Below are 12,422 nucleotides of genomic sequence, written 5' to 3' on the forward strand. Positions count from 1 at the left end.
CTGTGTCCTTACACAATTTTTTTTTTTTTTTTTTTTGATAGAGGATCTCACTTTGTCACCAGGCTGGAATGCAGGAGTGCAATCTCGGCTCACTGCATCCTCGACCTCCCAGGCTAAAGGCTTCCACCTCAGCCTCCTGAGTAGCTGTGACTACAGGCAAGCACCAACATGCTGGGCTTTTTTTTTTTTTTTTTTTTTTTGGTAGTGATAGGGTCCCACTTCGTTGCCCAGGCTGGTTTCAAACTCCTGGCTTCAAGTGATCCTCCCACCTCAGCCTCCCAAAGTGCTGGAATTACAGGTGCGAGTCACCGCACCCAGCCCTTCTTGCACTAATATCAGCACCCTCTGCAATTAGTCCATAAGGAGGCCCACCCCAAAGGCAGTCTGAAGACAAACCTAGAAAATAAAACGAAACCTAGGCCAGGTGGCTCACACTTGTAATCCCAGAACTTTGGGAGGCCGAGGCTAGCAGATCACTTGAGGTCAGGAGTTTGAGACCAGCCTGGCCAACATAGTGAAACCCCATCTCTACTAAAAATACAAAAATTAGCTGGGAGTGGTGGCACACGCCATAATCCCAGATACTTGGGAGGCTGAGGCAGGAGAATCACTTGAACCTGGGAGGCAGAGGCTGCAGTGAGCCAAGACCACACCATTGCACTCCAGCCTGGGCAACAGAGCAAGACTCTGTCTAAAAGAAAAAGAAAAAAAACTTGCTATCGGTGGAATAATATGTATAATTCAAATAAAGTACATTCTTCAGACTTTAATGAACAAGCATAAATCTGATAGCAAAAAAATAAGTAAAAAGAAGCACATACTAAATAGATAAGATGCTACCTTTATTGAAATACTGAGTGGGAGAAAAGTTTCCTTGTTCTCATTCAGCTTTGATTTTCTCCCGAGTTTGGATCGGCAGAGTTACATTTATGTTTTGGTAGCTAAGGTGTATGTGTGTGCCCTTGTGTACACATAAAATAATGTCAGAGAAATACAGTACATTAATCAGAGCAAGTAAAAATTAAGGGAGGAAAACAGAAAGAGATAGTTTTATATTCAGTGTAAGAGGTTGTGATGATACACAAAGACCCACAAATGCTCAGTCATGGGCCACATAACAGTACTGCAGTCAACAATGGACTGCATATAGGATGGTGGTCCCATAAGAGTACAATGGAGCTGGACAATTCCTGTCGCCTTGTGACAACCGCAGCCATCCTAGGGCCGTGGAGCCATACGTTCACTCACATGTCTGTGAGGACGCCGGCGTAAACAGACTGTGCTGCCAGTTGCATAAAAAAAAGTCTAGCACATGCAATTATGTACAACACATAATACTTGATGATGATAATAAACAACTATGTTACTGGTTTATGTATTTACGATACTACACTTTTTCTCATTATTTTGGCGTGTAGTCCCACTTTTAACGAGATGTTTCTGGTAAGACAGTGACGCCGCATTACCCCAGCCGCAGCCTCCTACAGCTCACGTTTCCCACAGCTCTTGATTGCAATATTTTCTCTTGTGCTTGATCAAGTGTTATTAAAAAAGAGTCAAGAAGCTTAAAAAAAATTTAAACTTTATAAAGTAGAGGCCGAGATATCATGATTCTTTTCCAATCTCATTCTTGAGTAGGAAAGAATTTGACACGCATGGTCCTCAAAAACAAAACAAAACAAACAAAACCTCACTTCTACCTAGCGCAGCCCTTCTGGAAGCCAGGGTGCACTGGAACCACCTGAGGGTGTTAAGAGTCTGACTCAGCAGGGATGGGGGGCCGGAGACTCCGCCTTGCTCACCAGTTCCCACGTGATGTTGATGCTGCCGGTCCATGGGCCACACTTCGAGTCACAAGGGGCAAGACACACATCTATATTCAACTTCATGTATGTCCACTGCAGGCATTTCCTACATCCAGACCTAAATGTACCTACTGGACACCCTGGAAGATGATCATTGCCATCAAAACCCAATTCTTCACTTATACACTTTATGCCCTTGGATCATGAAATTCCTTAAGTGAAAATGTAGCTTTCAAAGGTGTTCGGCAAATGGCCGGGTGTGGTGGCTCACACCTGTAATCCCAGCACTTAAGGAGGCCAAGGCGGGCAGATCACTTGAGGTCAGGAGTTCAAGACCAGCCTGGCCAACATGGTGAAACACCATCTCTACTAAAAATACAAAAATTAGCTGGGCGTGGTGGCTGGTGCCTGTAATCCCAGCTACTCTGGAGGCTGAGGCACCTGAACCCGGGAGGTGGAGTTTGCAGTGAGCCGAGATCATGCCACTGCACCCCAGACTGGGTGACAGAGCACCCCAGACTGGGTGACAGAGCACCCCAGACTGGGTGACAGAGCGAGACTCTGTCAAAAAAAAAAAAAAAAGCAGGTGTTCAGCCATAGATCTGTTGCATTAGAAGGGAGGAGGAAGGGAAGAAAAGGTACGTGTGCTAAGCACTTTGGGGAGATGTCTGTCCAGTCCACGTTGTCCCTGTGTCTGATGTCAGCCCCACCCATCCAAAGGCACGGTCCCAGCAACAAGATGACCCCACTCTCCTGTGCAGAGTTATAGGACCAGGGGTGGGCCTGACCTAGGCTGGCCTGTCACATGCCTTCTCTCCTGGGAATCTGGAAAGGGGTCTCAGAAATCGCAGAGTTGGTGGGAGGTTCTAGACAACAGGGACACATGAACGGGTCTGAGGCTGCCGCTCTGGAGTGGCGAGCTTTCATGTGCATGGCAAAGTTGAGAAAGGTAATTATTTGGAGAGGAAAAGAAATGAAGCCGAAAGGCAAAGACAAACAGAAATTAGGGAGCCATGGCAAGAGAAGGAAGAGATGGAAAAGGAGACGGAGAGCGGCTGCCTCAGCTCCCAGTTCCTGGTTCCTGATTCCTGATGCACACCTGCTCTCAGATTTCATGCCCTGCCTTTTATACCCTGCTCCTTTGGAAAAAAAAAAAAATAGTACCTTTCCGGTGGAGAAAACTGGCAGACAGCACCTTAACCAAGTGATCAGAGTTATTGTCACCTGTATGAGGACACAGCCACATAACGAAATACTCAGGACACAGCGTCACTCCATGGGGGTCTTGCCAAGAATGCAGAACCTCCATCTAATCCTGAGAAAACATCAGGGAAACCCAAAAGGAGAGACATGCCACAAAGCCACTGGTCTGGGTTCTTCCAAAGCATCACGGTCATGGAAGACAGAGAAAGACTGGGGACCATCCCAGTATGGGGGAGACAATCAAGACATGACACCTAAATGTGAGTAGGATCTCGACCAGGAAAAAACACGCGTGGAGCAACTGGTGAGATTTTAGTGCAGTCTATTAATGCGACAGGATCACTGTTAATTTCCAGGTTTTTATCATCGGCCCGTGGTTTTGTGGAAGTTGGGTGAGGGGTATATATTGGAAGCTACTGTGCTGTTTTTGCAACTTTTCAAAAATCTAAAATTACTTCTGAATAAAACAAGAGTCCCCTTCCTGTTTCAGCTAGTGTGATCCAGTTTCTGTTTCTCCCAAGAAATCTGGATTCAAACAGTCGCCTGTAATAGCAAATACAAGTCAGACACACTAACGCCTGGTGCAGCCACATCTCACCCACACCAGAGTGTTCAGACACTCCAGGAAACACTTTCAAGGAATATGGGGATTGAAAAGACCCCTTTGAGCCCCAAATCTCAAAGAAGTGTTGGAATTACATGGTGAGGGAAGTGTGTGGGGCTGTAGAGAACATAGAGGGGCCATGTGTTGAGGGATGGGGCGGGAGGGCTCATGAGACAGACTATTCTCACTTTTAATTTTTGAGACAGGCAGGGTCTCACTCTATTGCCCAGGCTGGAGTGCAGTGCTGCCATCAGGACTCCCTGAAGCCTCCACATCCTGGGCTCAAGTGGTCCCCACACCTTTGTCTCCTCAGTAGCTGAGACCACAGGTGAATGCCACCATGCCCAGCCAATTAAAAAAAAATTTTTTTTTGTAGAGACAAGGTCTAATTATGTTGCCTAGGCTGGTCTTGAACTTCTGGGCTGAAGTGATCCTCCCACCTTGGCCTCCCAAAGTACTAGGATTACAGGCGTGAGCCATAGCACCTATAATCTCTCACTTTTCTATGTTTGAAATCTTCCATAATAAAGAGTAAAAGAAAAAATTACATATGAAGAGAATGTACCCCAGATCACTGACCCAAGAGCTCTGGGGTGGCCGTTCCTTTTGGGTGTGGGTTCCCCAGCCCAGAGCGGGGGTAGTGGCTCATGCTGATAAGTCCTAAGCTGGGTCAACTCATCAACCTCACAACAACCTTATCAGGGAAGGGCTGTCATTATTTCCACTTTACAGATGAGGAAACTGGGGCACACTGGCAAAGTGGCTTGCCCATAAATACCACAGCAGGATTCGAATCTACCTGAACAAGGTCTGAAACACCTCCCAGAACCAGGCCACCCTTGCCCTGCACCTCAGCCTCCTCCCTGCTGCAGGCAACAATATGCAAGCACACACGTGCGTGCACACACACACACTCTGTCTCCAGGGCCCCTGCAAACTCCCCATTCCCACACAGCAACAGGCCAACACCAGCCTGTTCTCTCTGAAGACATGGGAAAGTCAGTGTGAGCCATGCAGAGACCTCTCCTTGCAGGTTTTCACTTAGCAAAGTTTTAAACTGTAAATAGAACCACAAAGCATCACAGAATGGGAAATGAGAGCCCAGGAAAGTCACCTGTGATCTTTCTACCCTACAAGTGGAGTGCAATCTTTTTATGTCTCAGGAAGTGGTGATTGTTGTTTTTGTGGTAGTGGTAGGGGGTGGAGGGATGGGGTGTTTTCTTGGGTGTGCATTTGTGTTTGTTTGAAGAAGGCTGCATGTTTTAAAGGCTGGAGATCCTCTGCTGGAACACTGCGGGAGGAGCTCCTGTCCTGGGCGCCCCCACAGCCCCCATCCCCCACATGACCATGAGGCCCAGAGCCCTCCAACTCCGTACTGGTCGCAGATGCTCTACGGGATTCTGCTGAGTCCAGTGAAGTGATGACTTGGTTTATAAAAGTGGACTGATGTCTATACCGATGTGGTTTTTACAGCTCCATAATTTAAACCTTTCATCAGAAGGAAGAGTGTTCAGGAAAACCAGTAAGAGCTCCTGTCTCAGGAGCTCAACAGGAATGGAGATGCCTGTGACGAGAGCCACTGTGGCACGGCGTCCACTGCCACCCAGCACCAGCCTGGCCGAGGAGAATGAGACACGGACCCTCCTCTAGAAGGCCGCAGTCCAGCAGGGGAGGCACGCCCAGGGCATCTCAGAGGAAGAAAGGGGCTTCCAGGAGGAGGCAGGACCGGTCCTGGGAACCGAGGAAGGAAAGGGACTTCCAGAAAGGAGAGAAGGAATGAGCAAAGGGGAGGTCCCAGAAACTGCAGGAGGGGTCAGGAGACGAAGAGAAGAGAGGTTGGCCCAGGGTTCCTCCAACGGTGGGGCCATGTGGCAACCTGAACTTTATCCGGAGCCAGGTGACTGCTGTTTCTGCCTGGACCGTTAGATTGCCTGGTTTATATCTGTCTCCCCACTGGGCTGTGAGCCGCTGAGGGCACGACACAGGCAGGAGCCTGACGCGAGCCCCATCTGGAGGGGTGAGCTCTCACCTCAGTCCTTAGGACCCCAGACACCTTTAGGTGTAAGGTTTTTTTTTTGTTTTTGTTTTTGTTTTTGTTTTGTCTTAAAAAAAAAAAAAAGGAAACTCATTACATACTGTCTTACACAAACTAAACCACTAGATGGTGCTAAGTGACTTTAATGAGAAATGAGACATGGGCGGTTCCCACTTTGCAATTTTAAAAAGTGACTTTCTTTACTTCCCTGTCACAGAAACTCTCAGTCCATGCAATTTAGGGAACTAGAATTACCTGTCCTTTCCTCTCCACCTGTCCGAAGTGCTTCCTCCGGGGCTCTTACGGGTATATGTGCACTTATTTGAAGGAGAGGCTTCCAGCTTCCAGCTCCAAGCCCAGGCACTATTCTCCCATCGTCCGCCCAGCGTCTCCCAGACTGAGCCCGCAGAGCCACGTGGAGGGCTTAAACAAGGCGCACCGGCCCGCCCCAGAGCTCCTGGGTCAGTGGTCTGGGGTGCCTGTGAATCTGCATTTCTGACAAGTTCCCAGGTGGTGCCCCCGCTGCTGGGACGGGGACCTCACCCTGACGACCCCTGCTGTGGAGAGTTCGGGAAGCTTCGGACGCCCTAACCATAGGCGGAACCCGCTGCCACGGCCCTGGTGCTAGCAGACGCTCTCTCTCGGCCCGCCCTCCACCGAGTTCCGGCCACAGAGCGGGCCCTGCCCGGCGGTGTGCGGCCACATCTTCCTTCAGCTCTAGCTTAGCTGCTACATTGGGAAGCCACTAAAACCTTTAAAACCAGCAAAAACCCAGCCACAAACATTTGAAATGAGGCCCAAGCCTGGGACACAGGGGGACCAGGTGGAACATTCGCCCACTCCCTGGGACCCGCCCTTACCCTGTGGTTCTCAGTGTGGCTCCTGGACCAGCCGCAGCACCATCACAGGGACACCTAGACATGCAGCATCCCGGGCCACACCCCAGACCCACTGAGTCAGGAGCTCCCGGGCGCACCCAGCCACGTCTGGGTTTTCATCAGAGCTAAGGAGGCAGAATTTTGGCCCCCGTGACCTTTTCCCCTTGGTGCTACACCCTTGAATATGTTACATGGCAAAAAGGGACTTTGCAGATATAATTAAAGTTCTTAATCAGTTACCCTTTTTTAAGGAAAGGAGTTTATTCAAGATTATCCCCTAAAAACAGAAGTCAGAGAAACGTGTAAGTCCAAGTCATTGAGATGAGACGCAGGAAGAGGGTTCAGAGTTCGCTGCCGGCTCCGAACGTGGAGGGGCCTGAAGCCAAGGAGCCTGGGCAGCCCTGACAGCCACTCCTGGCCAGCAGCCGGCAAAGAAACAGGGTCCTCACTCCTGCCAAGAACTTGAATGAGACTGGAAGCAAATTCTCCCCTAACAGCCTCTGGACAAGGGCCCAGGCTGGCCAACATCTTTCTTTCTACCTTTTGAGACCCAGAGCAGAGAAACCGATAGGACCCACCCAGACTTCCCACCTACACAACTGCGATGACACGGGTGCTGGTGGTGACTCATCAAGGCAGCAACAGAAAATGGACACAGCCGTGTTTCATCAGCTACATGCTATAGCTTGTTACTGAGTGAGTATAAGCACATCTGTCATTTTATTTAAAATGATTCAGTAATATTTTGATAACTGTTTTAATATAATTAGTTTCTTTTTTTTTTTTTTTGGAAACGGGGTCTCATTCTGTTGCCCAGGCTGGAGTGCAGTGGCTCAGTCTCAGCTCACTGCAGCCTCAACCTCTCCAGGCTCAGGCAGTCCTCCCATGTCAGCTTCCTAAGTAGCTGGAACCACAGGCACGCACCACCACGCCCAGCTAATTTTTGTATTTTTTGTAGAGGTGGGGTTTCGTCATGTGGCCCAGGCTGGTCTCAAATTCCTGGACTCGAGCAGTCCACTCACCTTGCCCTCCCAAAGTGCTGGCATTACAGGCGTGAGCCACCACACCCAGCCTGGTTTCCTTTAAATTATCTGTATTTTATTTTATGCCTTTACCATCATTTTTCTGAGAAGCGGTCTCCATCAGAATGCCACGGGTGGGAGTGGAGGAGGCAGCACAGAAGAGATGTTTGAGACCCTGCTTTAGAGACGAGGGCAGCAGGGAAAAGCCAGGAAGTCCTCCTGCAGCCACTCAGGACAGAAACAGGCGGCCAACCAGCGGTTTCATTTCATGTTCTCAGAAACCAGGTTAATCTGTTGTGAAATTTCTTATTTTGATATTCAACAAATACCTGTACATAAAGAGAGGAACATTCTTTTTGTCCTGGAACTGGAATTTGCCATCTAGGCTGGGCTCCTTCATCTTTCTCAGTATCTCTAGGGCAGTGGTTTTCAACTTTATCACCACCGCCCCAGGAAAAACCACATTTCTCATTGCGAGCCATACACATCAGATAGGTAGGTGTGTGTGTGTGTGTGTGTGTGTGTGTGTGTGTATTTCAACATATCCATATGGATATAGAGAGATAAAACAAGGGCTTCACAAAACAAATCCTCCCTTTCACTTGCTGTACACTCTGTTTTTCTTATTATATTTTAGTCTAGCATTTTGTTGACTTCCTTTTACATGCCAGTCAATTCTACTGAGTTCATTTTACATCCAAAAATGAGTTGTCACTAGCCATTTGGAAAACACTGGTCTCTAGGACCACGACTGGGCTTGTATCCACGTCCCTATTCACATACACAGCACACACACATACACATGACACACACACACCACACACACTTCACATACACATCCCACATATATCACACATACCATGTATATCACACACACACACCCCATGTACACAAACACATACAACCCTTATTCTATCCTGTCAGAGCCTCAGAAGAAACCACACAGGCCCCAGTCACCAGGATGAGGCACATGGTCCCTGAGCCAGGGTTTGTCTCACAAGAAGGAGGAGTTTTAAGTGCCTTACTTGGTTCCTCCTGCTGCGATCGTCAGTTCAGGGGACCACCACAGACCCGGGTTTGCTTTCCAGCAGCCCCTGAGAGCTGCTGCACTGTGAGTTTTGTGTGGTGCGTGCTGGGATGGGAATTAGGATGTGAACTCCAAGGTCCCAAAATGAAATCCTGAGCAGACATGGGGGCACTGGAAATCAATAAAAAGCGCTACATCTAGTTGTGGCTTCACATTTTTAGACAGAGTAACACATAACATCCAAATGGTCCAGGCTTTCTGAAGTGTCCGATTTTTACACGTTTTGCTCTCTTGTCCCCATGTGTACTTGTCAAACCAAATGTCAACTTACTTTTTGGTTTGGGAAATGTGGTTAGAGAGCCATACAAAGGTGCAGTATTTTAACCCAAGCGTCCCTGTGGAATGACCTGCTGTAGGGTAATGAGAAAGAGAGAGAACCGGAAGGAACAAAGAAGATGAGCCGGCAAGTAGCCAAGAAGGCACAGGCCACAGGACAGTTTGGGGCTTTTCTGTTTTGTTTTCAAATTAAGCTTCACCCAAAAGGGGTGGGGGTAGAAATGTGAGCTTTCCACCAACACGTTTCTAACTAGAAGCAAACACTGATACAACCACTCTTGCCGGGTTGTAATCAAATTCCGAAGGAGAACTGTTACCATGAGAAGGAAAACAGAAGCACAGATTTGAACAAGTGGAGGATAAAAATCCCTATGGTGTCCGTTTCTTCTTATTCTTACGAAGCTTGACCTGGGCAAAATGAATGCATGATGTAGACACTGGGGCAGCCTAAGCCTAAGACTCGGTGGGGAGGGCATGACTCGAAGGAGTCCCAAGGGGCACCTCTGAGGGGCCAGGAATGAGCGTGGCACCTGTGTCCCCCAGCTCAGGACTCTCCCTGTGTCCTGGAAAACTCCTCAGTCCAGGCCAGAGCAGAGCGCTTGGCCACCCACTCAGAAAACCCCGTTTCTGCCAGGAACATAGGATATGTTCAGCGTGTGACAGCTCCTCAAGCTGCATGCGTGTGCCTGCGCGTAACACCTCCATGAAACATGTGGGAAGCCCCAATGCACACGCGGCAGACTCGAGCGTACCTGTGCCTGCAGCTCCACTCTCTGCGCCTGCAGGTGGGAGAGCACCTCCCGGCCCTCCTCCAGCTGACTCCGCAGGGCGGCCACCTCCCGCTCCGTCAGGAGCTTCTCCTGCACAGAGAAGGCCAGAGTCAGACTCATGGGACATGCAGAGAGGAAAAGGGCAGAGAAGGTGCGGGGCCCTGGTATGGACGGAATATCCGTGTCCCCCTGAATTCTGTGTTGAAGCCCTAACTAACTCCCAAGATGAAGGTTTTAGGAGACCTTTGGAAGGTGTTAGGGTTAGATGAGGTCATGAGGATGGGGGGCCCCATCATGTGATTAGGGTCTTTGTAAGAACAAGAAGAGACACCAGAGCCCCCACCCCCACCCCCTGTCTGTCTGTCACGTGAGACACAGCAAGAAGGCAGCCGTCTTCAAGCCAGAAAGAGAGCCCTCACCAGACACCAATTCTGCTGGCATCTTGATCTTGGACTTCCAGCACCCAGGACAGTGAGAAGTAAATGTCTGCCTGTCGGCCCTCCCATCTGTAGTGTCCTGTTATAGTAGCCTGAGAAGACTAAGCCAGGCCCACAGCACAGCCATCAATGCCTTTTGCTTTGTCTTCAAAGTCTGAACCTCCTTGGGAGTGTGACATGCCGGGACCAAGTACCAGGAGACCAGAGCTTAGACCTGGCTGTGCCATGAACCTACTAAGAGACTCTAGAAAAGGATTTGACTCTCAAAGCCTCTGTTTTCCCTTCTGTGAAAGGGAAAACCTGGAATGCACACTCTCGAAGAAAATGAAGGCTGGTTGGAGCCGCGAGCCATACGCTGTGCTCGGATGTCAGCGCAGCACAAAGCAGGAGCCATCAGCCCCAGTGGGTGAAAGGGAAGTGACGCTCCAGGGAATGGCTAGAAGGAAATCCTCTGACCTCTCCACACTCTGCCAAGCAGGTCCCTCTCTCCTGACCTGCCTTTCCACGTCTATTCAAAAATATTCAAATTGTTTCACAAAGGCCTGACTGCTCAAGAGCCATGCATTCTGACACAGAGCACATTGACTCGAAGCCATGCAAAATCAAACACCAAGTCTACAATGAGGGTTTCTGTGTCCAGAGGCTGCATGGAAGACAGCCTCTGCTTCAAACACCTTACAAAGTGGCTGCAGCAATGACATAGACATACAGGAAAGTGACCGTCTAACTTGATTGTAGAATTGCTAAGCTAAGACTCATAAAGATGTGACACTTTCTCAATCGGTGCTTCTCTATCCTGAGCATGCACACGAGTCCCTGCGGATCTGGCTAAGATGCAGATTCTGCCTCAGTGGGTCTGAGGCTGGACTGGACACTCTGCACGTCTCACAAGCCCAGACGATGCTGATCGATGACATCAAAGTCAGTTTAGTGTCTGTATACTTATGACTTAGAAGGGTCTTATTACATGGGAATAGATGATACAATTCAAAAGGTATGCTCGGATGTAAAACACCTTTGAGTTAGAGTTGGGTTTGAAAAATAAAAGTAACATCTCTGGAAAGGAATCTCTGGGAAAGAAAATTAAGGCTTCAGGAAAAGTTTTTTTAGGCCTTTGTAGCAACATCAGTTACATCCACTAAGGAGAACAGGATCCTGAAATGGTAACTGGTGGGCAATTCAGACAAGACTATCCTCATGAATGCCAAAAAAAGTAACTTTCCTGTCGCTTAGATGATACTTTGCAGGGTTCAAAAGTGTCTTCTAAAGCAAATTTGGGGATTTCTTTAGCTTTGTATAAAATAATTAAGACGAAAAAGTTCAGGCAGCCGGTGACCCCAGCCCATGGGTTCTGCAGCAGTTTGTCTGCATGCTGGTCCTGGGCAGGCCCCACCTCCTGGGAAGCCCATTCATTGACTCGGAGCATGGCCTGAGCACACATCTAGGCAATTTCAAGTGTCACCAGGGTTGAGAGCCACCATCCTAGGTCATCCTTGCAAAAAGACCCAGAACCTTATCTCTTGACCAATCCACCAAACCCTGTAGTAGCCTACCACAACCTCTGAAGAAGGGACACTGTAACATTTTTATTTAATTTGCATCATTTCCAGTGTTTGTGGGGTTTTTTTGCTTCTTGTTTGTTTGTTTGTTTAGAGATGGGGTCTTGCTATGTTGTTCAGGCTGGTATTGAACTCCTAGCCTCAAATGATCCTCCCACCTCAGCCTCCTGAGTAGTTGGGATTACAAGCATGAGCCACCTCACTCAGCACCAGTCTATATATATATATATCATGCTATGCATCACAAAATTCCATAAACCATATTAGGAAAAGCGTTACTATCCCGTTGAGCAGCTAGAGAGTCAAATGAAGAAGGAATTTGGAACATAATATCAGAAGTAATTTTTCATATCCAAATCTTAATTTTTACAAATTGGCTTCAACAATCTCTATCCTTTCCCACTAGTTTCAATGCCACAGGCTCACATAATCATTAGCAGAGCTCCGTCTTGGAAATATATTCACTAATTATCTGAGATTATCTGTATTTGAAATTCATTATCAGATTGATAGGGAGAATAAGGAAACAAACCAATTTTTTAAATGGGCAAGAGGCTTGAGCAGATACTTCCACAAAGAAGCTATCCGGATGGCAGATGAGTGCACAAAAGGATGCTCGGCTTCCTTAGTCATTAGGGGATGCAAATTAAAACCACCACCATTAGAAGAGCAAAGACACACTACAAAGCTGACATACCAAGTGCTGGCAAGGACAGGAAGCCACAGAAACCCTCACGCATTGTGGG

The 12,422-nt window shown here is 48.2% G+C and overlaps 1 protein-coding gene across 6 annotated transcripts in view, besides 1 other annotated feature; it reads right to left on the reverse strand.

Annotated features, from left to right (window-relative positions):
- The window catches only part of BFSP1 (beaded filament structural protein 1), a 75,316-nt gene that overhangs the window by 5,322 nt on the left and 57,572 nt on the right, over nucleotides 1–12,422 (reverse strand). For 5 of the 6 annotated variants that reach the window (NM_001278608.2, NM_001278607.2, NM_001161705.2 and 2 more), the window contains one exon: nucleotides 9,663–9,770. The exons of the other annotated variant lie outside the window; for it this stretch is intronic. In NM_001278608.2, the coding sequence (NP_001265537.1) occupies nucleotides 9,663–9,770 (108 nt within the window). The remainder of the gene's footprint in view (nucleotides 1–9,662; nucleotides 9,771–12,422) is intronic. 6 annotated transcript variants of the gene reach the window in all.
- Nucleotides 5,286–5,809: an enhancer, noted in NCBI's record as "H3K4me1 hESC enhancer chr20:17485157-17485680 (GRCh37/hg19 assembly coordinates)". NCBI's record gives its function as "activates a minimal SCP1, AML or CMV promoter by ChIP-STARR-seq in naive and primed H9 embryonic stem cells {active_cell/tissue: H9 hESC(naive and primed)}" and the evidence as "EXISTENCE:reporter gene assay evidence [ECO:0000049][PMID:30033119]".

The sequence above is a fragment of the Homo sapiens genome, chromosome 20 (genome assembly GCF_000001405.40).
Source record: "Homo sapiens chromosome 20, GRCh38.p14 Primary Assembly".
Lineage (NCBI taxonomy): Eukaryota > Metazoa > Chordata > Mammalia > Primates > Hominidae > Homo > Homo sapiens.